The sequence below is a fragment of the Homo sapiens genome, chromosome 7 (assembly GCF_000001405.40).
Source record: "Homo sapiens chromosome 7, GRCh38.p14 Primary Assembly".
Lineage (NCBI taxonomy): Eukaryota > Metazoa > Chordata > Mammalia > Primates > Hominidae > Homo > Homo sapiens.
In genome coordinates this window covers 2,511,766-2,535,546 of record NC_000007.14, presented here as the reverse complement: position 1 = coordinate 2,535,546, position 23,781 = coordinate 2,511,766, and the positions used below count along the sequence as shown (strand labels likewise).

Below are 23,781 nucleotides of genomic sequence, written 5' to 3'. Positions count from 1 at the left end.
ACAAACAGAGACTAGAAACTCACACCAATCATTACCTCGTAAGTGCAGTTAGCTCAGGAAGTACAATATTTCCAAAAAGGGGAGAGGTTGCAATTAGCCAAGACTGTGCCATTGCACTCCAGCCTGGGCAACAAGAACGAAACTCCGAGGAAAACCTCTGACACACAGCCTCTCCCTCTCCCTCTCCCTCTCCCTCTCCCTCCCCCTCCCCCTCCCCCTCCCCCTCTCCCTCTCCCTCTCCGTCTCCCTCTCTCTCCACGGTCTCCTTCCACGGTCTCCCTCTGATGCCAAGCCAAAGCTGGACGGTACTGCTGCCATCTCGGCTCACTGCAACCTCCCTGCCTGATTCTCCTGCCTCAGCCTGCCGAGTGCCTGTGATTGCAGGCGCGCGCCGCCACGCCTGACTGGTTTTCGTTTTTTTTTTTGGTGGAGACGGGGTTTTGCTGTGTTGGCCGGGCTGGTCTCCAGCTCCTAACCGCGAGTGATCCGCCAGCCTCGGCCTCCCGAGGTGCTGGGATTGCAGACGGAGTCTCGTTCACTCAGTGCTCAATGGTGCCCAGGCTGGAGTGCAGCGGCGTGATCTCGGCTCGCTACAACCTCCACCTCCCAGCTGCCCGCCTTGGCCCCCCAAAGTGCCAAGATTGCAGCCTCTGCCCAGCCGCCACCCCATGTGGGAAGTGAGGAGCGTCTCTGCCTGGCCCCCCATCGTCTGGGATATGAGGAGCCTCTCTGCCTGGCTGCCCAGTCTGGAAAGTGAGGAGCGTCTCTGCCCGGCCGCCATCCCATCTAGGAAGTGAGGAGCGCCTCTTCCCGGCCGCCATCCCATCTAGGAAGCGAGGAGCGCCTCTTCCCCGCCGCCCATCGTCTGAGATGTGGGGAGCGCCTCTGCCCCGCCGCCCTGTCTGGGATGTGAGGAGCGCCTCTGCTGGGCCGCAACCCTGTCTGGGAGGTGAGGAGCGTCTCTGCCCGGCCGCCCCGTCTGAGAAGTGAGGAAACCCTCTGCCTGGCAACCGCCCCGTCTGAGAAGTGAGGAGCCCCTCCGCCCGGCAGCTGCCCCGTCTGGGAAGTGAGGAGCGTCTCCGCCCGGCAGCCGCCCCGTCCGGGAGGGAGGTGGGGGGGGGTCAGCCCCCCGCCGGGCCAGCCGCCCCGTCCGGGAGGTGAGGGGCTCCTCTGCCCGGCCGCCCCTACTGGGAAGTGAGGAGCCCTCTGCCCGGCCAGCCGCCCCGTCCGGGAGGGAGGTGGGGGGTCAGCCCCCCGCCCGGCCAGCCGCCCAGTCCGGGAGGGAGGTGGGGGGTCAGCCCCCCGCCCAGCCAGCCGCCCCGTCCGGGAGGGAGGTGGGGGGATCAGCCCCCCGCCTGGCCAGCCGCCCCATCCGGGAGGTGAGGGGCGCCTCTGCCCGGCCGCCCCTACTGGGAAGTGAGGAGCCCCTCTGCCCGGCCAGCCGCCCCGTCCGGGAGGTGAGGGGTGCTTCTGCCCGGCCGCCCCTACTGGGAAGTGAGGAGCCCCTCTGCCCGGCCACGACCCCGTCTGGGAGGTGTGCCCAGCGGCTCATTGGGGATGGGCCATGATGACAATGGCGGTTTTGTGGAATAGAAAGGCGGGAAGGGTGGGGAAAAAATTGAGAAATCGGATGGTTGCCGGGTCTGTGTGGATAGAAGTAGACATGGGAGACTTTTCATTTTGTTCTGTACTAAGAAAAATTCTTCTGCCTTGGGATCCTGTTGATCTGTCACCTTATCCCCAACCCCGTGCTCTCTGAAACATGTGCTGTGTCCACTCAGGGTTAAATGGATTAAGGGCGGTGCAAGATGTGCTTTGTTAAACAGATGCTTGAAGGCAGCATGCTCGTTAAGAGTCATCACCACTCCCTAATCTCAAGTACCCAGGGACACAAACACTGCGGAAGGCCGCAGGGACCTCTGCCTAGGAAAACCAGAGACCTTTGTTCACTTGTTTATCTGCTGACCTTCCCTCCACTATTGTCCTGTGACCCTGCCAAATCCCCCTCTGCGAGAAACACCCAAGAATGATCAATAAAAAAAAAAAAAATAAAAAAAAAAAGAACGAAACTCCATCTCAAAAAAAAAAAAAAAAAAAAAATCTCCCAAAGAAATACCAATAAACAAGAAAATAGTCAAATGTAAAAAAAAAAAAAAAAAAAAAAAAAAAATTTCCAAAAAGGTGACCACAGGGAGAAAAACATGAAGATAACCACCAGCTCAGACCCAGCCGGGGCTTGTGGCCATGCCCACCTGCTCCTGTGTGTCCTGGGCCTCGGGCAAGCCACTCATCCTCTCCCCACTGTTTCCAGTCTGTAAGCTGGGATTAGTGACGCTGCCTTCTCAGTTGTGGGAACCTAGAAGGCAGCAATGGGCCTCTCTCCCTAGGTTGCAACCCGGGGCTGGCACGTAGTAGGTCTGTTTCCAGCTGCCACACACGCTACCTTACCAGGGGTCCCCAAGAGACAGGACAGGGTGATGGGCCCATTTCACAGGGGGAAAAACCGAGGCAAAGAAAGGCAGTGGAGACTCGTGCTTCTGCTTCAGTAGCTCCTGCCATGGACTTGTCATGGGAACCCCCTCCCACAAGCTCTGTCCCCGGCACCCTCTGGCACTGTTAGCCAGCGGAATCCAGCTGTCACCATGGCCTGGTTCTTAGCACCCCTGGGAACTTTTAGAGCCTCTGGCCTGTGCTAACTGAGGTTGGGCAGCTGCTGGCCAGGGCCCTAGAGAGAGGGGTATCAGGTAGCTAGTGCTGAGTAACAAATAGCTCCAAACACATGACTTCACATGTCCTTAGTATTAAAGGGCCTGGTGGTACTGCTGCTCATTGCTAGGCCTGGCAAGTCCTAGCTGGGCTCACTCACACATCTGTGGGCAGCTGGGAGCTAGCTAGTCCAGGATGGCCTCAGCTAGGGTGACCCAGGCTCCATCGCCCTCTTGCCTTCCAGCAAAGCAGCCCAGCCCGTTCTCGTGCTATAGCAGGAGTCGGGGAGAGCAGGCAGAGGCACGCATGTCCCTGGAGGCTTAAGCTCAGAGCTGGGAATGTCATTGCTGTCACCTTTTATTGGCCACAGCAAGTCATAAGACAGGCTCAGATTGAAGGATGGGGAAGTAGACGCCACCTCTAGACAGGAGTTGGGGCAAAGTCACACAGCAAAGGGCGTGGTGATTCAGGGAGGAGTGGGGCATCGGGGACACGTTTGTAACTGATCTACCACAGAGGGGAGCCCCCCTTTGAGAAAGTGCTTGGTGGGCCTTGGTGCTTACGCAGCCACGGACCAACCTGCTAGATGGGGCCTTCAGTAGGGTGGCGGGACGTCAGTTTAGCCTCAGGATTCGACTCCGAGCCTCTTGCGAGACCACGTCTTGGGCAGCATCGTAGACCCGGCTGTGAGCACAGAGTGGCTCTTCCAGAAAGTTTGTTGAATGACTGACTGACCTAAGTCAGTCCCTGTGCCAGGCAGCCCAGAGGGACCAGCCCAGAGCCTCCTTCTCGGGGTGCAAGCCTGGCTTGGGATTGGGGGGTGTCTGCACTCGTGGAGCCCCCCATGCCTGCCGGGAGCCTGAAGACGCAGAGACCTCCTGCCTCGCCTCGCCCCCTCCGTGGGGACCCTCTTCCCCACACTCCTTGGTTCCTGTCGGAGCCAAGATGTGTCACCATGGAAACCGCTTGGCAAACGCTGGCAGGCAGAGGCGGCCAACAGCAGCTCTCCCGATCGAGCTCCGGGCACCGGCTGGAGCAACGTCGCGGGACGGCGTGAGCGAGCACACCCAGCCGTGTGTGACACGCGTGGGGACAGAGGCCGGGGCGGCTGCGGGAGGGCGTGCGGGGAGGTCAGGGCGCCCCGGCGTGTATGCGCCCACGTGCGCGCCTGTGCGTGTGCCAACAGTGCAGCCACATCGGAGCGCGTGTGCTCCGAGTGTGATGGCCGCGTGGGCCGGTGCAGGGTGTGTGTGGGGATGGGGGTGTCTGATTGGTGCTGTGACCTGCGGCAGCACAGCCGCCTGCGTTGAGTGCCCACGGTGGGCTGGACATTGCACTAGGTGCTGACAGGACCGGCAGAGGTGGCCACTGCCCTCGTCCCCAGCCTGCACTCCTGGGCGAAGGCTGACGCTGAACAGGTACTTGTAAGAGTCGCCGAAGTGCGTGCCGGGAGGGTTCTGGGAAGAGGCAGCTGTGGGGCCTGAAGCCTAAATGTGGGGTGGGAGGCATCCAGGCTGCGGCTCCAGGCAGAGGGCACAGCCCGGCTGTGAGCCACCACGCCTGGCCCCAAGGGCCTTCCTGTGTGTCCAATTCTGGGCTCAGAAGCAGGGGGTCACCCTGCAGAATATCTAAGAAGGCTGAGGCTGTGTGGGCACATGGACCCAGCAGGGAACAAGACTTGCCCATTGTTCTGACAGACTCGAAGATGGATCTGGCCCTGGTCCCTGCTTTCCCTCTGACCCCAGGCCCACCCGGCAAGAATGGCTGAAGTCACATAGCAGCCTGGCCCTGGCCCCTCTGAGCCTGTGGAGAGCCCTAGTTGTCTGTGATTGGGGAGGGGGGATCAAGAGACCCAACTGCATTGCCTGCCCTCCTTCCCAGGCTTCCAGTCCTCCCAGTGGATCCCACCTCTGCACCTTTGCCCAGGCTGTGCTGAGACCTGGAAGGCCCCTTCTCTCCCTACTCCATCTTGACAAAGCCTTCCTGCTTCAGCTCAGAGGCACCTCTTCCAGGAAGTTGGCCCTGATGGCCCCAGTGGAAGGGAAGTTCCTTTCAACTGAGTGGGGAGGCGCCCCACCCTAGCAGCCCCTCCCAGACCCCAAGCAGCCTTGGGGCTCCCCAGGCACTCGCCTGGCAGAACGGAAGCAGGGGTGGCGGCTGAGGTCTGCCACCCTCGCTGAGCGCCCTGCAGCCCCTGTGGTTGCAGTTTTACTTGTTTTGAAAGCCCCATTAATGATCAGAAGTTTGGGAAAGGGGGCCTGGCTGGGCTAGACTGGGGGGACATGGAGCCCCAGGGACCAGCCAGGCCCCTTTCTGACCAGACCTCTAATCTGATGTGATGGCACCACTGGTGGGTGGGACACAGCTGTCCCCAGAATGTACCTGGGGGAGGAATGACTTCACCTCCCCTGCCGGGTGAGTCACCTTCTGGGGGGTGGGGGGGCGGTGGATGGAAGAGGTCAGGCTGCCTCATTCCCCTAAGACACTGCTGGGCCTGCTTCCCCTTTTGAGGGCAGAGAAACGTCCCTCCCTCAGCTTGGAAGAGGAAGGGGCCAGATGCGCTGTCCTGTGCACCTTCCAAAACACCCCCTGACCTCCAGCACCCGGGGACTGCATTTACCTTTGTTCCCATTTGTCAGATGGAGAGGTCGAGGCCTCGGGAGGAGCCGGGCTTCCTCCCCACCCCACTTCTTGCTCCTCTGCTCTCCCCGATGCCCACTTAGCCCCCACTCCCACCCCGCTCCACACACAGGGACATATGAACATTAATGGGGACTCCCCAAGCCCTGGCAGGGCCCCCACAGCTGTATCCATGGGTCTGTCCGACCCCTGGGTCCAGCCACACCTCTGCCCCCGGGGCCCCACCAGCTCTGTGGGGAGGCGATGCCAGCTGCAGGCGGGGACAGCGTCGGGGCCAGGGCAGAAGGCCCCAAGCCTCTGAGTCAGCCGGGCAGGAAGGAGGCCAGCAGCCTCTGCCCGCAGCCTGTTCCGTCACGACCCCCCCGCCCCACCCCAGAGTCTCAGCTTCCTCGTTCAGAAGAGGGGCCTATGCCGTCCTATGAGAAGTGGGTGGGCACATGGTGGGTGCTCAGGGAGGACCACAGCCACCCAGACGGGGGTCAGGCCACGTGACGGTGAGGGCCCTCCATCCTCCCGCCATCCCCATCACTGTCCACACCCCCCAGGCAGCTGCTCTGCTGACTCAGGACCGTCCAAGGCCAAGGTGGGGTCACAGCCCTGCCAGCCGCCCCCAAGGCCAGGGTAGCCCCCAGCCAGGCTTAGAGTAAGGGGGTCTCTGCAGGCCCATTCAGCACGTCAGCACTCTTCTGGAGGGGGCAGCGACGGGGGAGGGCAAGGCACCCCCCCATAGAGAGGCACTTTTCACAGTGTGTCGTCTCCTTGGAGCAGAGTGGGGGGTGCAGAGGCACCAGGAGGGGGACCTGGAGCCCTGGGGTCGGGGGAAGCAGGGTCAGGCCAGAGCAGGAACTTGCAAGGGGCGCGGCCAGGGCAGTGCCAGGCCAAGGGTGTAAGCCCCAGGGAAGGGGTGGGGGCTCATGGTGAAGAGGAAGTGAGCCGCCCCGGGGCTGCCAGGAGGGTGAGGGGAGGGAATCCCCGCAGAGGCTGCAGCACCCGTCCCCTACTCAGTCACCCTCAAAGGCTGGATTTGAGGAAGGAAAAGCACCGCAGAGCTGCTGTATTTAAAAAACAAGCGTCTGGATCTCTGCAGGGGCTGGGACCAGCTGCAGTGGGGGCTCCGGCACTGCTCCTGCTCTCCAGGACTCTTCCCACCACCCCTGAGCGGGGTCGGGGCCTGGGGCCACATCACAGGAGAGGGAGGTGCAGCATTACCAGCTGTGGGGCGGCCGGACCCACGGCCTGCCTGGCTTGGAGTCTGAGCGCCTCCCCAGCCCACCAGCATGGCTGCTGGACCTTGGGCATCAGCTGCTCCGTGCCTCAGTTTCCCCACCTGCAAAGTGAGGCGATGATGTGGACTCTGTGAGCTCGTGGCAGGAGTGAAGTTGGATAAGGAGGCCCCAGGCCCGGTCACAGGAGTCACTGTCCCTCCTGCAGGGGCTGGGCTCCCCAGTGGCCAGACCAGGCCAGAGCCTTGGGGTTGTGCTTTTGGCTGGGACCTAGAGCCCCCAGCATCCTAGACCTGTTCCTCCTGGAAGCACAGGGCTCACGCTCCAGCGACCACCCTGACCCTGGGTGGGCCGCACCTGTAGTCACCAGCAGGCAGCTATAGTGACGCCAGGTTTCGTTCCAAAATAGTTGTCTCTAAGCGTTTCCTATCTACCTGCTCCATGCGGTGCACCCAAGGCCAAGCCTCCCCTTCACCTGTGTGCCTCTCCTGACCCTGGCTGCCCTGGGGCTTAGGCCCCACCTCCAGCCAAGACCAGGACCCCCAGGATTGCTGCAAAGAGCACCTTTATTCACAGCAAAAGGACGTCACCATAGCAACAACACTTCAATTCCCTGAGAACTTTTCCCTTATCATTCGCTTTCCTAGCTATGTCTTTGCAAAGAGAAAAACAACAAGAAACACAGCCCACGGGACAGGTGAGCCATGCTGGGCCCAGCGGGGAGGTGGCAGCTACACAGGAGGAGGGCAGGGATGGGAGGTTCCAGATGCTGGAACGCATAAATACACAGAGTGCCAGACAGTCCCACTTCAGCTTTAAAAACAAAGATGACCCCGAGTTTGGCTTCTGTTTTTTCTGATCCACAGAAAAGATAAGATAAAATAAGACCCTCCCCCACCCCCACCCTCCCAAGCAAAAAACAAGAACACCCTACTTTTTACCCATCCCCTTTCAAAAAAAACAGCACAGTAAAAAAATACTGTCACAATATTTACAGACACGCCCACTGTGGGCGACTTGCTCTCTACTTTGGAGAGGAGATTAAATGCTGAGCTCTGACTCACCCTGTCCTGGGGAGGCAAAGGGAAGACCTCTGAGGAGGCCTGGAAGACTCCCCACTCAGAAGAGCTGGGAGGGGTGCCACTGTTTGCCCAGCTGGACAGCCAGCCACTGGGGGCTTCGTGGGGCCACTGGAACTGGGCGGTGGCTGCTGTTACTCTTAAGCCACAGCGTCCAGGCCAGGAGGAAGGGGATTGGGTCACGCACCCCCAGACCCAGCCTCCCCTGCAATGAGCATGGCTCAGTGAGTCGTACTTGGGGCTATGACACAGGGGCCAGGACTTCAGGGCACAGGTACCCCCAGCACAGAGCTTGTGGTCAGCAGGAAGAGAAAGGCACCTACGCATCGCATCCCTGCAAAGTAGCCCGGAGCCCCGTAGCTGTAGAAAGATCCAAAAATCCTAACAGAATTGCCCTCGGAGTGGCCTCCGACACACAAATCCTTCCTCCAAGCAGGCCCTGCAGCCCACTGGCCCTCGGAGCAGAGGCACATAAGTGGCGCTGGTGCCCGCCCCTCCACAGAGCAGAACTGCCCAGCAGCCTGCTACCCGGGTGGGCATGCAGTACACACACACACACACGCACACGCACACGCACAGGCACGGCCCTAGGGGAGCCTCGAATGCCGAGGCCAGGGCAGCGCAACAGGGTCCCTGGGCCCTTTGGATACCAGGGGCGCCCAGGGATTGGGTCTCAGCCATGGCCACTAGAAGATGGCAGTGCGGGGACACCAGGGTGTGTCCGGGTACAGGTGGCAGTGGATGGAGCGGAACCTGTGGGAACAGAGCAGGGGCTGGTCTGCGTGGGTGGCAGGCAGGTGCTGAGCTCCCATTTGCAGTCCCACAACACTGGCGGCCCCACCCCGAGCAAGCAGGACTCCGGGGGACACCTCTATGTAGAGTCATGCCGCTTAGAGAGACCCTGCTGCAGCTCCACGAGGCCCCCTGACGCCCCTAGGCCACCCTACGCAAGCCCATCTGGGCCGGGGTTTCCTTACCTGGATGGGTCGGCCTCCACCGAGAAGGGCCCCTTCACGTGGACGGCGTTCCGCTTGTTTTCAAACATACCGTAGCTCAGCGTCACCTGTGGGGAGCGGGCGGAGTGATGCCGGGAGGGGCCCGACATCCCTGGGCCCCGCCCCAGGCTGGCCACACAGCCCTGAGTGAGGCAACGGCCCTGCCCTGGCCTCCCTTGGACCTGGAAGGACACCTGCCCTGCACACCCCAGGAATAAGGTCCCAAACTGGGGACCAGCTGGGGCTGGCTGCATTGCCAGCGTGGACAAAATACGCACAGTAGGCGCATCACAGTGAAGAGAAGAGACGGCAGGAAAACAACCCGCCATAAACAGCTTTGAGCTCATGGCAGGAGTGACCCCCCCTGGCTGACAGTGGAGTGCTGCCTGGCCTCCCTGTTTAGAACAGTGCCCCACCCCACTGCGCCCCTCTCGGCAGCCACACGTCCCTTCCTGTGCTCTCGGAGTCCTGGCGGGGCCCGGAGGATGGTGCACCTGCTCGTGGAGCTCCGAGGTGGGCACCTGCTGCAGGTTCTCCAGGTGGGAGTGGAAGAGGCCGCTGCGGATGAGGGGCACACCCAGCAGGGCCTCCACGATGTAGCCGATGGTGCAGTCATCAGGCAGCCGGATCCGCTCAGCCGTATTCATGAAGTGACCCCCGCTGCGGGAGGGAAGGGCCCAGACCAGTGAGCAGAGGCGGGAGCCATCTGCTGGGAGCTGGGGAGGCCCCACCAGGCAAAGGCGCTGCACTCCTCAGGGAGAGGAGCCCTGAGGAGAGCTCTGGGCTGCAGCTCCCTCTGCCTCCCCTGGCCACAGCCAGGGCACACTCCCTGCACAGCTCCTGTGCTCCGTGGCTCTCTGTGGAGGGAATCTGGGTGCAGGGAAGAGTCCTGCCGGATGGTGCCTGGGGTGCTCATCGCCCCCCTGGCTGCTCTGAGCAGGTCAGGCTTGGGGGCAGCCGCCGTAAACACAGCTGCCCTCTGAAACCCAGAGGGAAGTGGAATATAGGAAGTAAGTGGGCAGTGCCACACAGGAGGCTGGGGACACCCCATGGCTGGGAAGATGAACTAAGCCAGGCCCCACAGTGGCGAGGAGCCTGGGACCGGGCTGGCCTAACCTGTGCAGGGCACTCACCTGGCCCACGGGCTCATCTTCAGAGCCAGCCCACGGCTGATGCAGAAGCCAGCGCCGCCCGTGGCAAACCAGAAGTGGACAGGACGCTGGGAGAAGGGAGAAGGTGTCCTGAGACCCAGGCGCTGCTGCCCCTCACGGTCCCACCCCCACTCCGGGTGTGCGCTCCGCGTGGGCGTGGGGGACTGGGAGGGGCAGGCACTCACCACCTTGTTCTCGCTGACCCGCTCCATGGCCTGGATGGGCCTGTCCAGGCTGGGCTTGCCGACGTAGACGTCCCGCGTGTGCGGGTAGCTGGCCAGCAGCCGCAGCAGGGCCCGCAGGTTGACGTAGTTGTCATCGTCCACGTGGCAGAACCACCTGAGGACAAGGCAGGGCCATCGGGGGAGGGCATGCCGGGGCGGGCGCTGCCAGGCTCGGGCAGGGAGATGGGGGTCCCCCGGGGCCACACTCACTTCCTGCCGGACTCGATGAAGCGGTCATACTCCACGGCCATCTTGCAGGACAGCGCCTGGCGGCTGTGGGCGGCCGAGCAGTTTGTGATGACCACGTTGCCTGTGGACAGGGGAGCGGCTGTGAGTAGGTCTGAGCCGGCTCCCAGAGAGGGGCCTGGCCTGGGGGACGCCACAGGGCCCAGGGGCTCGAGAAAAGCCCCCTAGTTCAAGCTGGGCCCGGCGGCCGTAGCCTCCCCCACCCTAGCTCGGGGCTTGGGCCTGTGGACCCTCCCGCAGCCCAGCCCCTTCCAGGGCGGCCCCGCCCCCGCCCATTCAGGCAGCTTTTTCCCAGCACCCGCCACCTGTTGCCGCTGCCTGGGCTCAAAGGGACCCGGGGGGCTGAATGGGCTTCATTTGCATGAGAATTGGGGGGCCCGAGTGGTGGGGCGGGGCATGGAGCAAACCCCATGAGTAAACTGCCCTCCCTGTCCTGCCCTTGGTGACCTCTCGGCCCAGAGGGGCAGGGAGACTGGAGGGGGAGCGTTCGGCTCTGGATGGAGGCCTGGGCCCCCTCCCGCCCCAAGTCCAGGGCTCACCCGTGTGCCTGGCCAGGGCCTCATCTTCCCCGTCAGTGAAGATGAACGTCTGGAAGGAGAAAATCGGCCTTCAGCAGGCAGCCCTTCATCCCCACCCCAGGGCCATCTGTGGGGGCCGGACGGGGCGCCCTGGAGTTGCTGCAGCTGCAGCTGCGTCACACTGACACCCACCCTTCTCCGGGCCTTGGTTTCCCCACTCGTGCTGAGAAGGGCTCAAGTGCCCCATCTCAGTGCCATCTGGGCCAGAGCTCACGCATTCACTCGCCCTGGGGGTGGGGGATGGGGGCCTCACTCCCCAACCTCGACAGCTGCACCCAAGGTCGTCCAGGCGCGGTGAGGCACGAGCCAGGTGGTGCGCCTCGCCCGCCCGCCAGGTAACCGGTTCCCGACCCGCCCCGTGCACCTGGCAGGGCACACACCCTTATTGACACAGCACCCAGCCTGCCACTTGGAGGCTGCTGGAAAGGCGGGGGACAGGCGGGGTGGCGGGAGGGACAGGCGGAGGAGGTCGGCTGTGGGAAGCCAAGTCTCAATCACTCGGGGTTGGGGACAAAGGCCTTCGCTGGGCGGCTGCCAAGCCCTGGCGGACAAAGGGCCTGGAGGGAGGATGAATCACCAGGCATTGTCCGCCAGCTTTGTCCTGGGCTGGCGGGAGAGGGGCGCCGGGCCGGCCTTAACTCGGCCGAGTTAAGCAGAGTGGCCGCGCCGCCCATTACCATACAGCTGGCCTGGTTAACCGGGCCAGGCTGGGCATGAGGTCCCGCGCGTAGGGTGCAGCCACCAGCACTGCAGCCACCCCACAGCTGCCCTTTGGGCCAGCACCCCTGTCCTGGGTGACCTGCAGGACAAGCTACCCACTCTGAGCCAAAGCAGCCCTGAAGTTCTGCAAAGTTGCCAACGGTCAGCAGGGTTGTGGCAGGAAACCTCAGGTGTCCCCAGCCCCCAGGTCAGGGGCCCCCAGTACCCATGCAGCCCAGCACCCCTCCCACTGCTCAGGCAAGGAAACCCAGGCTTGCCCAAGGCCACAGCCCACCTGTGCCAGCACGCGGCCGCCCCCTGCCAGGAGCGCTCTGCGGAAGAGGAGGGGGCCGCCAGGGCGGGGCCAGGAGTCGCCGGCGCCCGCCTGGGCCTGCCGGCACACGGGGAGGAATGTTCCTTCCTCTGCCCGGCCCGCCCAGCGCGTGCCGCCCGGCGCACCCTGGCATGGCTGAGTGCAAAACCCAGGGTGTACGGGCAATGCTCTGACCAAGGGACAACCCCCTGATGCCCACCCAGCCTCAGTTTCCTTCCCTGTACACACAGGTCCCGCAGAGGCCCTGGAACACCTTGGTAGTCTCAGATCCTTATCCAGCCTGACCCAGCCCTGGGCACATGCTCACTAGGGTGAGGCCCAGAGCTAAGGGGGTGGCAGGCTGGGTCTCCGCCTCTCCATGCATGCACCCCTCCTGCAGCACCCATAGACACCCCAGGGCAGCCACACGCACAGACTCGCACCCAGCCCCTTGGCCTCCCCAGAATCTCAGCCCAGGAATGCCGTGGGAGGCGGAGGGCCAGCCCCTGCAGACGCTCCACTGCGCCGCTGGGTTAAAAGGAAAATGCTTTCTTAATGAGATCAAGGGAGGCCTGTTCTCCCGAGATTTGGTGGTGCCCTAAAAACCCAGCCCAAGGCTACGGAGATTAAAGTCACCTTTGTTCAGCTCAGGGAGCAGGGAGGCCTCTAGAACAGCATCTGAGAAGGCGGGGCTATGGGGTGCGGGGGTGCCGGTCGAACTGTCTCCCGACACCTGAGCCACCAGGAGGGGAGGAAAAAGGCGCTGCTGGGCTATAGGCCTCACCTGCCGCTCAGAGCCTCAGTCTCGTCTTCAGTAAAATGGGCATAACAGAGCTCCCCTGGGCAGAGAACAAAGTGCAAAGACAGATTCTCTCCCTTCCTCTCCCTGACAGCCCTCGGAGGTGGGTGCCATTACCAGCTGAGGCCCAAGTGGGGAAACTGAGGCCCAGAGAGGTGCAGGCACCAGCCTGAGGTCATACCCTGGGGCCGAGGCGGTGCTAGACCAGCCCAGTCCCTGCCTTCTAGGGACCCAGACCCCCCAGTGCCACCTAACTTTCCAGACGAAGACGGGGCTGCAGGAGGAAGAGCCGGGTGGATGAGGGTGGACGGGGGCGGGGGCCGGGGGACACCCACAGGAAGCAGCATTGTTCCTGGAGCCGCGATTCAAAGAAACACAGGATGCCAAGTTCTCCCCAGCAATTGTGGCCGCTGTGGTGGCAGCGCGGCAGCCTGGCTGCTCCTGGGAGGGGCGGGGAACCTCTGGGCCAAAGGCCAGGCTCTTCATCCTGGACTCCAGGCCCATCTCAGCGCGGCCCCTGCTGACCAACCGACCCTCCCCCCAGCCACCACTCCAGTTGCTAGAAGTTTCCTGCACAACCCCCATGCTGTGGTCATCACCATGCCCGGATGGAGTGCCCTTTCTGGGCACTTTTTTACTCTTAGTCTAGCTCAAATGGCGCCTCCTCCAGGAAGTCTTCCCTCCTCCCTCCCTTCCCCCAGCATGTGGGTCAGATGCCCACTGTTGCCTCACACAGCCTCTCGGGGTTTTCCCCCCGCACAGCCCTGACATCTTTCTATCTCCCCCATCAGACCATGTCTGAGTCATTCCGTGCAGGGCTGGGAGAGGGGGGCCCTCTTCTGTGGGTTTCCAGGACCCCTGCCCATCACCCACCACAAGGGGGTCTTTGCTTGCTGTGTGCTGGTGAACTGATGCTGAGGGCAGATTCAACCTGTCCCCTGGTGGGGTGACCCTCCAGTAGGGACCTCAGGGCTCAAGGGAGTGATGGCCCCCACCTCGACCCTGAGTGCCCGCCGGGTTCACCCCATGCCTGCAGGCTTTGCCAGTCTCTTACAACGTGCTCCTGGAAGGACCATGTTCCCCCATTTCAGAGATCAGAGTGAGGGTCTGAGAGGCCCCAGGTCTTGCTCAGGATCACACAGCCCAGCCCTCTGACCACATCCCCTCTGTTGGAGAAAGGCCCCAAATTCCAAGATGAGAGGTGCTCAGAGCTGGTGGTAGCCCAGAGTGGGGCTGAAGGATGCCCAAGATCACATAGCAGTAAGGCTTGAGTGCTGGGGGTGGGGGGGCCAGGCTCAGGGATGGTGCCCCAAAAGGACTGTCAGTAAGAGATGCTGGGGGGGCCCGCTGGTCCCCTCATCGCCAGGCAACCTGAGTGGCCAGCACGCCAGCAGCGGTTCCCACGGAGCGCGTAGCTGCACACAAGGGGCCCGACGCCTTTCTCGCTGGAGAAAGGGGCTTTGTTACCTTGCCCAAGGGGCCGGCGTGAGAGCCGCCCGGCGCTGGGAATCCTAACGGCCCGGCCGCCAAACAAAACCCACGGCCCCCGCCGCCCCCTCCCGCCAGCCCGCTGAGCCCCTGGGAATGGGACGCTGTGTTCCCAGGAGGCTGCCATGGGGTTCCCAGGGCCCCTTCCCCACGCCAGGACCAGGGAGGACCCTGCCCCTCCCCGTCGCCCTCATGACCTCACCAAGCCCTGCTCCCACCCACCCACAGTGCCCCAAAACAGGACAGCGCCAGGTCAGAAGGCCCTGGGTCTCCGGGGTTTGAGCAGGGAGGAAGGCGTGCAGGGTCTTCCCTGAGCCCCCACCCTCACAGCAAATGCCTCTGCATCTCCCAGCCCAGAGACACCCCCCCAGTCCCCGACTGCAAGCCCCACACACTGTCCCCATCCCGCCCCAGCCCAACCGTCCTGCTGTGGCCTCGAGGGAAATGTTCAAAGTGGGGTGTGTCTTAATTATGTGTGTGTAAGAAGCTGATGCCCAACTGAAGTGGGCTGTGCCCAAGGTTGCAGGCCTCAGAGACTACTGCACTGTGCGGGGAGGGTCCCCACACAGACCCCAAAACCTGGAGTTCTTTGAGATGTACTCCCCAGGACCCACCAACCAGCAATGACTTCCCTCCCTCCCCGTACCTTAACACTGTGATGAGGAAAGGGCCCAGAGGTCAGAACCCCTCACTTCTCTAAAGGAAGAGCCTTTCTCCCCAGGAAGGGGTCTGAGCTGAGGGTGGGTCCGAACAGAATTTGCTTGTGGAAGTTTGAGGACATAATGCCCTATGAATGCGCTCCAATGTTTACGGGGTGAGAAGTATCACAGGGCACCAACCCCAAGCACTGGAGACTGGTGTAGGGTCCTGCAGCCATCCAGGACTCTGGAGCTGGACAGGAGGCGGGGCCCCGGGGACAGTAACACAACTGTAACGGGAGAGTGGCCCCAGCAGGCAAACTGGGTGCACCGGGGTGCACTGGCGTCGCCCACAGATGGCCCTAGTGGCTGGATGGGGATGCAGCCTGACTCCCATGGGACACTGCCACCAGCTGGACCAGATGGTGGGTCCCCGCCCCGCTCGCCCGCCAGTCCAGGCCGCGGGGGGCTCACCATCTCCTTGTGGCGCGAGATCCAGGTCTCCAGCAGCAGGTCGAGGCGCGCGCGGTGGAACTTTTTGGTGGTCTTGACAGCGATGAAGACGTCTCGGGGCGCGAGCGGCTCGGCCAGGGGGCGCGGGTGGCCGTCGGCGGGGCGGGGGGCAGCCCCGGGCGGCGGGCCCGCATCTCTGCGCGCGCGGGTGAGCAGGCTGAAGTACTCGGACAGACTGTGCACGTCGCGGACCAGCGCCCCGGGCGCCGCCGCCGCCGCCCCCAGCCCGGGCGCCGGGGCAGCCCCCGCGGGGCCCGCCAGGCTGCGCAGCGCGCGCCGGCCGCGCTCGGCGGGCAGTGGAGGCGGCGGCGGGTCGGCGGTGAGCACCAGCAGGCAGGCGAGCAGCGCGCCCGCCAGCGCCAGCAGCAGGCGCCGGCCGCAGCGCTTGAGCATGGTGGGGTGGCGGCCGCGCGGCGCGCCCTTCCCCGTGCGCCTGCCTTGCACCGACCCGAAGCCCGTCGCTCCGGCGGCGCAGTCCAGCAGCGCAGCACCAGTGTCCCGCGCTCTTAAACCTCCCCGCCCCGGTCCCGCCCCCGTGCGCTCATTGGCTCCCGGGCTCGGGGGCGGGGCCTCGCGCCGGTCGCCGCTCCACGCCCGCAGACCCACGTGGGGCCGCGGCTGGGGGCTGGGAACTGCCCAGAGGGCGCAGCGGCCCCGCCCCCGGCGCGCACGTGCACGCCCCGCACCCCCCCCGCCCCGGGTAGCCCCTGCGGGCCGCCGAGGGGCTTGGGGACGGGCCCGGCCCGCGCCGGTGTCCCTGAAGAGGAAACCCAGCCTGGCCAGCGCCGTCCGGGGATGCACCGGGCGTCCCGGCACGGGAGGGGCGCGCCCTCGGCGCAGCGGGCAGGGTGCTGAGACCCGGGCTCTGGGCTCCGACGCACCGCGGGGGACATCCTACTTCCTCGCTGTGCGCTTCCCCTCCTGAGCACGGCTTCCTCCCCTTGGGACGCGGCAGGCCTTGCAAACTGGGGTGGCGCCTGGGTCTTCCCGAGCGCTCGGTTCAGGGGAGCCGTTATTTGTACAGAGCAAGAGCTTGGCCACCTGTGCCGCAGGTGGGGACACGAGGTTCTAACGAGAAAGCACCAGAACCAAATTCCACTCCTTCCTCCCTGGCTGATTTCCTCGATCCTGGCCCTCCGTCGGGAGGGTTGGCTCCCCGAAATCCTCAGGCGCCCCATGGCGAGGAGAAACGAAGGCCGCCACTTCCCTCGCCGGATGAAAGGCCGCCTTCTGTCCCATTTGGTCTCCTTGCGCTCGGGCCAGATGCGGCCCAGCTGTGCGCCCTCCCCACCCCGCCTCCCCGGCACACGGCCCCCATCCCCGGCCCTTCCCACGGGCCCGGGCCCGCCCCTCGCACGAGCGGGGGCGGCAGGAATGCGCGCCGGCAGCCGAGGGTGAGGGGCGAGGGGCCCGGAAGTGGCCAAGGGTCGCCTGAGCAGGGTGTGAGCCCCCTGCCCGCCACGTCCTCCGGAAGCGTGGACGGAGGCGGCTCTGCCCGTGGCTGCGCTGTCTTCCCGTGCCCTCCTAAGCAGGGTCTCTGCGACCACCACGACCACCACCGCCACCACCGTGGCTAAACTGCCCCCCTCGGAGTTATGTTCACGCCTGAGATGGCATTTTAAATTCTTTAAGTGCCCTTGGAGCCCCTCTCCTTACCTCTACCTGAATGTCAGCCGCAAGACAGCAGCGACCTGGTGTCATTCAGACCTGGAACAGGTTTTGGGACATAGTAGGTGCTCTGAAAAAATTCACTGGATAAATGTCTGGCCCCACTGTCAGACCCTCTCCCCCCGCTAAGGACGCTGTAGCCCATTTGCTCTTAGGGCCCCAGGGGCCCCACCCCTAGCCCCTGTACCCGCTGGGTGGTGTGGGGGATGGGGGTTCCCAGGCCTCTTCCTGGCCCCAGGTAATTAGCAGTCACCACCTCCGAAAGCAGATGCCCCAGCAGATGGTGCTGGCTGTGCCCAAGTGACAAGTCTCCCATGGCGTCACCTCCTGCCATAAACCCCTTCCGATCAGCCAGAGCCTAGCCCTGGAGCCTCCATGCAGCTGGAGAGGCTTGAGGGTGAGCCGGGGAGAAAAGGACCCAGTGACTGGGTTGGCTGCCCCCACAAAGTCAGCTGAGTCCCAGCCCAGCCCCAGCCTCCGGACTGAGGGGTGTCCATGACCCCACGTGCTTCAGTCACACCGCTGACTTCAGGCTCTCCCATATCTGAATTGTTTCAGAGACGGAGCCTCATCCATCCCCATCATCTCTTCCCTGAATCACTTGGGCAGCCTCCACCCCCATCCCACCCACTCCTATCCTACCTGCTTTACTTATTCTCCACGCAGCAGCTGGACAACTAGGATCATAGCCACTCACACACCCACACAAAGAGCAAAACCCTCCATAGCTCTCCACTGGCTGAGTTAAAGTCCCGCCTGATATTCACGCACCTCGTGACTTAGTCCCAGCCCCGTTTCTTGAGGCCCAATCCCTCCTCAATCCCCTGCAGCCAAGCATGGCCAAGCCCCCAAATATGTGCACGGGTTGTGCTCTGTACCTGGACTTTACATCAGTGGCACCGATGGTGGGTGCCATGCCACCCTGCACCCCACCTGACAAGATGCTGTGAGTCCATCTCCCCACAGTTCCCAGGCCAGGGGATGGGGCTTCCTGCCCTGAGCCGCCCCACCCCCGCAACTCCTGCTCCCCAGCTACCCCTGACTGCGGTGCCTTTGACCCAGCAGGTCGTGGGAGCAATGTGCCCATTGTAGAGAAAGCAAGGGGGATATTGTACCAAGGGAGTGACCATACAGAGGTGGATGGCCCAGCCTGGCAGGGGCACATGCATAGAACTGGGTAGGGGGGGTTCCCGCGTCTCTCTGTAGCCAGGAATGGGAGGAGTGGGGGACCTGATGCTGCTGCCTGTCTGGAAGCAGCGGGAGGAAGCTTTACAGCATTCTTGTGGGGGCCGCAGGCTTTGGCAAGAGTGAATCAATTTCTTTGCTGTCAGGAGAATGGAATTTCGTGGTGACTTCTTGAGGTCTGAAAACTGTTGAGGGGGTGGCCCGCCTAGCCACCCCCGCCCGCTTCCCCAGGCTCAGCTTCAGCCTGAAACACTTCCCTCCCCATCCAGACCCCAGGTCTCCCTCTAGGGGCCCACTGGGCCACACAGCCCTGGTAGGGAAGTGGGCTGTGGGATGGTGCTCAGCCCTGGACAGGACAAAGGGGAGCTGGGGAGGGGGCTAGAGAGGGCTGACCGAGTTGCCAGTGAAGCCTCTTGGGGCCGTAGGGTCCTGGGGAAGAGGGGCTGGGGATAGAGGCTGCCCCAGGGCCCAGCCTGCCTTCCGAACCCAGAGGGGCCACTTCTCGGCTTTAAGACCTTGAACCGGTGGTGTTACTCCCTGAGCCTCAGTTTCCTCACTTGTAACACAAGGATGACATACCATCCAGACCAGGCAGGCCAGCTCTGGCCCTGGCGCATGGCTTCATGGGCTTCTTGGACCCTAGTCTTCCCCTCTGCAGGGCCCCTCCACCAGTCCCAGTTTGGGGCTCCCAGGCAGCTGGGTGTGCGAATGGCCCGAGAGACCTGCCTGCTGAGGTCAGGTGGAAAGCAGGCCCACGGAGCCAGGACCCACATGACCAGGGGCCCTACCCTCCTCCTCTAGCCGCCATCAGGCTGAGACAGTGTTCTGTCCCCATCTGAGTCCAGGCCTCCTCTAACTGCCAGGGCTCAGCCCGGGGGTTCTCCTGCTGGAGTCAGTGCCACCAGGTCCCCAAAGCCATGGGCTGGGTCTGCCCTTGACACTCAGGCCTAGAGGGGAAGGGCTCGGGGCTGGCTTTGAGGTGGCCATCTGCCTTCCCTCCCCCGGGCTGTTCCTTGGGGCTGCTCTGGCCTGCCTTCCTGCAGGGTCCTGGGAAGATCTGTGGAGACATAATGGGTGACCCATTAACTCGGCAGGAAGCCATCCGAGGCGCCTGTCCACTCATCGGCTGATGGAGAGCGGCCCCACTCAGTGTCTTGGGAACCAGCTTCCTCTGGGCCAGTAGCAGTGCCCAGAGATGGAAACTCCTGGACAGGACTCAGCATGGTGGTGGCTGTGGCTCGGGCAAGCCTGCACCTCCCTGTCCTCTCCTGACACAGACGCAGGAATGCCAACCCCCAGGCTGGGGCCAGGCATCAGAACTGGCAGTGTTTGAAGCCCCCAGATGCCAGGGGGCCCATGGATTTCCAAAAGGCAGGCGTGGCCTAGTGAGTGTCCCGACCCAGGAGCTTCTGTGAGCAGCCCTTGGTGGCAGGAAGGAGGGTGATGGGAAGGTTGGCTGGGCTCAGCACAGCCGGCTCCCAAGGCCGGGGGAGGGATACCGCAGGGTGGCACAGCTGATTCCCATTACTGCAGCTGGAGTGGGCACTGCCCTGAGACTAGCAGACTCCAGCTGTGAGTAGCACCCCCACCATTCCCAACCCTGCCTGCCTGCTATGCCCAGACCCCTCGCCCACTGTGTGGTCTTGGGCCAGTGCCCTTCTGTGGGTCTTGGGACGTTACTTGACTCTGTAATAGGGATATGGCTGGTGCCTCACCCGCCCTGCCCACCAGGCTGCCTTGGGGTTGGTGCTCTGCAGCCGTGAAGCCACGGCCTTTCCAACAGTGGCCTGGCCCTTTTGCCTGCACTCTGGGGTCAGGCATGGACAGAGAGGCCAGGCCCATTAGAGTTCAGCCGACTTGGCCTCAGTGGCTGAGCAAGGCTTCGGGGGGCATCCTGGCCTGAGGCACCCTGCAGGGCCCACCAAGGGCTACCCCTCCTAGAACGTCCTCCCCATCCCCCTCTGCTACCCCCATCCTGGTGCTGATCACATGAGGTTGTAGCTGCTCCTTTACGTCTGTGTCCCTGGGGGAAGAGGCTGCCTCTTGCTGCTTGTCAGGGCCTGGCACAAAGTAGGTGCTCAGTAAACACTGGTTGAACTGATGGTGGGGGGAATGGACATACAGATGGATGGACAGATGGACAGATAGATTGGCAGATGGATGGATGGTTGGATGGATGAATGAATGGATAGACAGATGGACAGATGGAGGGACGGATGGATGGATGGATGAATAGATGGATGGATGGAAAGGTGGATGGATGAACAGTTAGATGGAGGGGCAGATGGATGGGCAGACAGACAGACGGATGGATGGATGGATGGACGGATGGACAGATGGATGGATGGATGGACAGATGGATGGATGGATGGATGGATGGATAGACAGATGAATGGACAGATGGATGGACGGACGGATGGATGGATGGACAGATGGATAGATGGATGAATGGATAGATACATGGATGGATGGAAGGATAGGTGAATGGACAGACAGACGAATGGATGGATGGATGCATGGATGAATGGATGGATGGATAGACAGATGAATGGATGGATGGATGGATGGATGGATGGATGGATGGACAGACAGACCGACAGATGAATGGATGGATGGATGCATGGATGAATGGACAGATGGATGCATGGATGGATGAATGGATGGATGGATGGACAGGTGAATGGACAGATGGATAGATGGATGTATGGATGGCTGGAAGGATAGGTGAAAGGACAGACAGACTAACGGATGGATGGATGCATGGATGAATGGATGGATGGATAGACAGATGAATGGATGGACAGATGGATGGATGAATGGATGGATGGATAGATGGATGGATGGATGGACAGATGGATGGGTGGATGGATGGATGGATGGATGGACAGGTGAATGGACAGATGGACCAACAGATGGTCTAATGGATAGATGGACAGACACATAGACACAGAGGCATGCGGGTGGCTGGGAGGGTGCTGGATGTCAGCTGCTTGACAGCGGGACCGTGATGTGATTCTTGGCTGTGCCCCAGGGCCTAGAGCAGTGCCTGTGTGTATCAGGTGCTTGATGAACATTGGTTGGTAGAGGTTGGATGGAAGGATGGATGGGTGGATGTGCAGATACACAGAGGGCTCAAAGGCGCCTCTCTGACTCTGTCTCCCAAATGCCCAGCCCTGGGGAGCATAGGTCTCAGGGTGAGAAGACCTGGCAGGGCTGCCGCTGGCCTCTGAGCCCGCACAGGGCCTGGGGCCTGGGGGAGGGCTGTGCTGAAGGTGAATTCCCAGTGCCTAGGCACTATGTGCCTGCCCTGCCCTGGGGGCATTTCCAAACACCACCTCCAGAAGGCCTCAGGGGGTCTCACTCTAACTGTTGGTCTTACAGACGGGTCCAGGGGGCCAGAAAGAAGAGGTGGCACACCCTTAAGCCCACAGCAGGAACAGCAAGGGGCCTCAGCCTGGAGGCCAGGGCTTGTCCACACCAGGAGGACGGCAGGCCTGGGCTGGCAGCTGCGCCTCTTTCTGGCGCTTCTGTCTGAGGCCAGCTGGGCCATGGGGCTGGATGGGGCTAATCTGATTTGCAGCCCCCAGCATCAGAGCGCAGCCACCAGGATCCACTTACTGACGTCCTGCAGAGTCCAGACACCCACCAGGGAGGCACCAGAGCCACCCTGCCCCAGCCGGCCTTTGTCTTGCCAAGAATGGCTGGCTTGTGTGGCAGCCACAGCAGGCAGGGGGTGGGCTGTGGCCACGGTGGTGCCTGTCAGGCCCCAGGCATGACCCCCCACCCTAGTCATGACCCCGTGCCCATGTCAGTGGGATGGGATACAGAGCAGTGGGAGGAGGGGCTCCAGGCCGGGTGGAGGGAGCAGGGGTCAGTCTTGGCCCCAGGGGAGCCCTGCTTGCTATGTGATCCTGGGCTTGTGTACCTCCCTGATCCCAGGCTCCCCATCGCTACCATGGGCCATCTTTCCCCCTTGAAAGGATCAGGGAAGACGATACAGCATCAAAGGATATTCCAGGCTGCTCTGGAAGCAGAAGAAGGGGAGGTTATGTCCCCAGGAATGGCGATCACACCTGCTGAGAGAGGCCACCTCCGTAGGACCTGAGAGCTGGTGTTGGGCTCCACTCATCCATCCATCCATCCATCCATCCATCTGTCCATCTGTCCGTCCATCCTTCCATCCATTTCATGTGCTCATCCCACAGCCTTCCTGAGCATTTGCTCCATGCCCAGATCTGCTTGGCACTGGGGGAAGGTAGTAGGTGAGGATTCAACAGGGGTTAGAAAAATGGGTCCAGCCCAAAGGTGCCCAGGGCCCAGACGAGGGAGAACCCACTGTGGGCTGGGGCTGGGAGGCAGGGGACTTCTGGAAAGTCTTCCAGGAAAAGATGGTGACATTTGCCCTGGGGCTTGAAGGCTTGGGCAGGTGGAGGTGGAGGTTGTGCAGTCAGGCAGGGGTGTGTGAAGCAGGTGGAGGTGGAAGTTGGGCAGGGGTGTGGGAGCAGGTGGAGGTGGAGGTTGTGTGGTCAGGCACAGGTGTGTGGGGCATTCATGGAGGTGAGGCTGGAGATAAAGAGAAGCCTGAGGATCTAGGTGTAGAATGCAGGGGTACTGGGGGAGACATAGGGGGCTCCAGGTTCACGAGCAAGAGGGACGGCTCTGAGTGGCATTCTAGGAGGAAAAGCAACCCTGAGGCCCACCTCATACAATACGTGTCCAGCCTGAGCCTTCCTGTCTGTTCATCCATCCCTCTGAGCTTTGGGTCCTTGTGGCCAGGGAGGGAGGAAGCTGCGAGGGTGGCCAGGAGCCGCCTTGGCCTCTGTCCTCCCTCCTCCCTTCCTTGGGAGGCTCTGCCAGTGTTGCAGCTTAGTCTGGGAAGGATTTGCAGAGAGAAGGCAGGGCCGTGTTGCTCAGGGGTGGGACCCTGGCAGGAGGGGATGGTGGAGGCGGGTGTGGGGAGGTGGGGCAGAGTCTCTCTCAGGGCGGCAGAGGCTGGGCTGAGGCTGGCATCAGAGGAAAGTCCAAGCATTGGAGGCACCGTCCTCTCTCTGCAGCCCGTTTCTGTGCACGCCATCTGCTAGGGACTTGCCCAGACGGGGTTATCCAGTGCTCGTCTTGGTTTCTGGGGACACCTGACAGTGAATGTTTGGAGACACTTTCATTTGTCGCCACCGGGCTGGGGCTGAACAGACAGTAGGGTCTGGCCTATAGGGCCCAGAGAGGCTGCCCCACAGCCCCCCATGCACAGAACAGCCCCACAACCAAGAATGATCCACCCTCAATGTCAGTGGCCACGGCGCAGAAACCATCCAAGAGATGGCGGGCCCTCCCCTGGCCGTGCCTTGGTGGGGCTCTTGCGGTGGCTCTCCTGCCTCGCCTGGGGTCCTCACAAGGTGGGCTTGTGTCTGGCCATGAGGCCCGGGAACGGCGTGCTCCCGCCTTCTTGCAGGAGGTCACACAAGGGCAGAGGATGCAGTGGCCGGGCGTCCAGGACAGTGAGGCTGCCCTGGATTGGAAGGATCGCACGGGGGGGTTCCGGGGGAGCCCACGGCGGGGGGCTGGGAGGAGGCTGCGGCAGGGGCAGGGGCTGGGCTGCTCAGGCTGTGGTCCAGGCCTTGGTGAGGGCAGGGATGGCA

The 23,781-nt window shown here is 62.6% G+C and overlaps 1 protein-coding gene and 1 non-coding gene across 5 annotated transcripts, besides 13 other annotated features; both read right to left on the bottom strand.

Moving 5' to 3' along the window:
• Window positions 256-1,175: an enhancer, noted in NCBI's record as "H3K27ac hESC enhancer chr7:2574006-2574925 (GRCh37/hg19 assembly coordinates)". NCBI's record gives its function as "activates a minimal SCP1, AML or CMV promoter by ChIP-STARR-seq in naive H9 embryonic stem cells {active_cell/tissue: H9 hESC(naive)}" and the evidence as "EXISTENCE:reporter gene assay evidence [ECO:0000049][PMID:30033119]".
• Window positions 1,176-2,096: an enhancer, noted in NCBI's record as "NANOG-H3K27ac hESC enhancer chr7:2573085-2574005 (GRCh37/hg19 assembly coordinates)". NCBI's record gives its function as "activates a minimal SCP1, AML or CMV promoter by ChIP-STARR-seq in naive H9 embryonic stem cells {active_cell/tissue: H9 hESC(naive)}" and the evidence as "EXISTENCE:reporter gene assay evidence [ECO:0000049][PMID:30033119]".
• Window positions 3,282-4,254: an enhancer, noted in NCBI's record as "H3K27ac-H3K4me1 hESC enhancer chr7:2570927-2571899 (GRCh37/hg19 assembly coordinates)". NCBI's record gives its function as "activates a minimal SCP1, AML or CMV promoter by ChIP-STARR-seq in naive H9 embryonic stem cells {active_cell/tissue: H9 hESC(naive)}" and the evidence as "EXISTENCE:reporter gene assay evidence [ECO:0000049][PMID:30033119]".
• Window positions 4,649-4,798: an enhancer, noted in NCBI's record as "active region_25535". NCBI's record gives its function as "activates an Ori minimal core promoter by ATAC-STARR-seq in GM12878 lymphoblastoid cells {active_cell/tissue: GM12878}" and the evidence as "EXISTENCE:reporter gene assay evidence [ECO:0000049][PMID:35858748]".
• Window positions 5,230-6,203: an enhancer, noted in NCBI's record as "H3K4me1 hESC enhancer chr7:2568978-2569951 (GRCh37/hg19 assembly coordinates)". NCBI's record gives its function as "activates a minimal SCP1, AML or CMV promoter by ChIP-STARR-seq in naive H9 embryonic stem cells {active_cell/tissue: H9 hESC(naive)}" and the evidence as "EXISTENCE:reporter gene assay evidence [ECO:0000049][PMID:30033119]".
• Window positions 5,519-5,618: a silencer, noted in NCBI's record as "silent region_17878". NCBI's record gives its function as "represses an Ori minimal core promoter by ATAC-STARR-seq in GM12878 lymphoblastoid cells {active_cell/tissue: GM12878}" and the evidence as "EXISTENCE:reporter gene assay evidence [ECO:0000049][PMID:35858748]".
• Window positions 6,139-6,198: a silencer, noted in NCBI's record as "silent region_17877". NCBI's record gives its function as "represses an Ori minimal core promoter by ATAC-STARR-seq in GM12878 lymphoblastoid cells {active_cell/tissue: GM12878}" and the evidence as "EXISTENCE:reporter gene assay evidence [ECO:0000049][PMID:35858748]".
• Window positions 6,204-7,178: an enhancer, noted in NCBI's record as "H3K4me1 hESC enhancer chr7:2568003-2568977 (GRCh37/hg19 assembly coordinates)". NCBI's record gives its function as "activates a minimal SCP1, AML or CMV promoter by ChIP-STARR-seq in naive H9 embryonic stem cells {active_cell/tissue: H9 hESC(naive)}" and the evidence as "EXISTENCE:reporter gene assay evidence [ECO:0000049][PMID:30033119]".
• LFNG (LFNG O-fucosylpeptide 3-beta-N-acetylglucosaminyltransferase) lies at window positions 6,370-23,018 on the bottom strand. 4 transcript variants are annotated; one of them, NM_001166355.2, is made up of 9 exons: window positions 22,846-23,018; window positions 22,219-22,390; window positions 10,804-10,852; window positions 10,229-10,328; window positions 9,980-10,133; window positions 9,777-9,862; window positions 9,138-9,303; window positions 8,626-8,711; window positions 7,118-8,401 (listed from the first exon to the last, which is right to left on the bottom strand). In NM_001166355.2, the coding sequence occupies exons 1-9, from the start codon at window positions 22,890-22,892 to the stop codon at window positions 8,335-8,337; spliced, it is 927 nt and encodes a 308-aa protein (NP_001159827.1). In that variant the 5' UTR covers window positions 22,893-23,018; the 3' UTR covers window positions 7,118-8,334. The 4 variants fall into 4 exon arrangements, with proteins under 4 accessions (NP_001035258.1, NP_001159827.1, NP_002295.1 ...); NM_002304.3 differs by lacking the exons at window positions 22,219-22,390; window positions 22,846-23,018 and adding exons at window positions 16,949-16,999; window positions 17,603-17,684; NM_001040168.2 differs by lacking the exons at window positions 7,118-8,401; window positions 22,219-22,390; window positions 22,846-23,018 and adding exons at window positions 6,370-6,673; window positions 15,254-15,773.
• MIR4648 (microRNA 4648) lies at window positions 8,402-8,473 on the bottom strand. Its single transcript, NR_039791.2, has one exon. It is a non-coding gene; the product is annotated as a microRNA 4648 (primary transcript).
• Window positions 12,058-12,570: an enhancer, noted in NCBI's record as "H3K27ac-H3K4me1 hESC enhancer chr7:2562611-2563123 (GRCh37/hg19 assembly coordinates)". NCBI's record gives its function as "activates a minimal SCP1, AML or CMV promoter by ChIP-STARR-seq in primed H9 embryonic stem cells {active_cell/tissue: H9 hESC(primed)}" and the evidence as "EXISTENCE:reporter gene assay evidence [ECO:0000049][PMID:30033119]".
• Window positions 13,437-13,496: an enhancer, noted in NCBI's record as "active region_25534". NCBI's record gives its function as "activates an Ori minimal core promoter by ATAC-STARR-seq in GM12878 lymphoblastoid cells {active_cell/tissue: GM12878}" and the evidence as "EXISTENCE:reporter gene assay evidence [ECO:0000049][PMID:35858748]".
• Window positions 13,537-13,666: an enhancer, noted in NCBI's record as "active region_25533". NCBI's record gives its function as "activates an Ori minimal core promoter by ATAC-STARR-seq in GM12878 lymphoblastoid cells {active_cell/tissue: GM12878}" and the evidence as "EXISTENCE:reporter gene assay evidence [ECO:0000049][PMID:35858748]".
• Window positions 15,598-15,707: a silencer, noted in NCBI's record as "silent region_17876". NCBI's record gives its function as "represses an Ori minimal core promoter by ATAC-STARR-seq in GM12878 lymphoblastoid cells {active_cell/tissue: GM12878}" and the evidence as "EXISTENCE:reporter gene assay evidence [ECO:0000049][PMID:35858748]".
• Window positions 15,718-16,247: a silencer, noted in NCBI's record as "silent region_17875". NCBI's record gives its function as "represses an Ori minimal core promoter by ATAC-STARR-seq in GM12878 lymphoblastoid cells {active_cell/tissue: GM12878}" and the evidence as "EXISTENCE:reporter gene assay evidence [ECO:0000049][PMID:35858748]".

Coding starts and splice junctions, on each gene's coding strand:
- LFNG (NM_001040167.2), bottom strand. CDS start 15,685: ATGCTCAAGCGCTGCGGCCGGCGCCTGCTGCTGGCGCTGGCGGGCGCG. Junction 10,853..15,253: donor TCTCGCGCCACAAGGAGATG/GTGAGCCCCCCG, acceptor TTCTCCTTCCAG/ACGTTCATCTTCACTGACGG. Junction 9,863..9,979: donor GGGTCAGCGAGAACAAGGTG/GTGAGTGCCTGC, acceptor CCCTTCTCCCAG/CGTCCTGTCCACTTCTGGTT.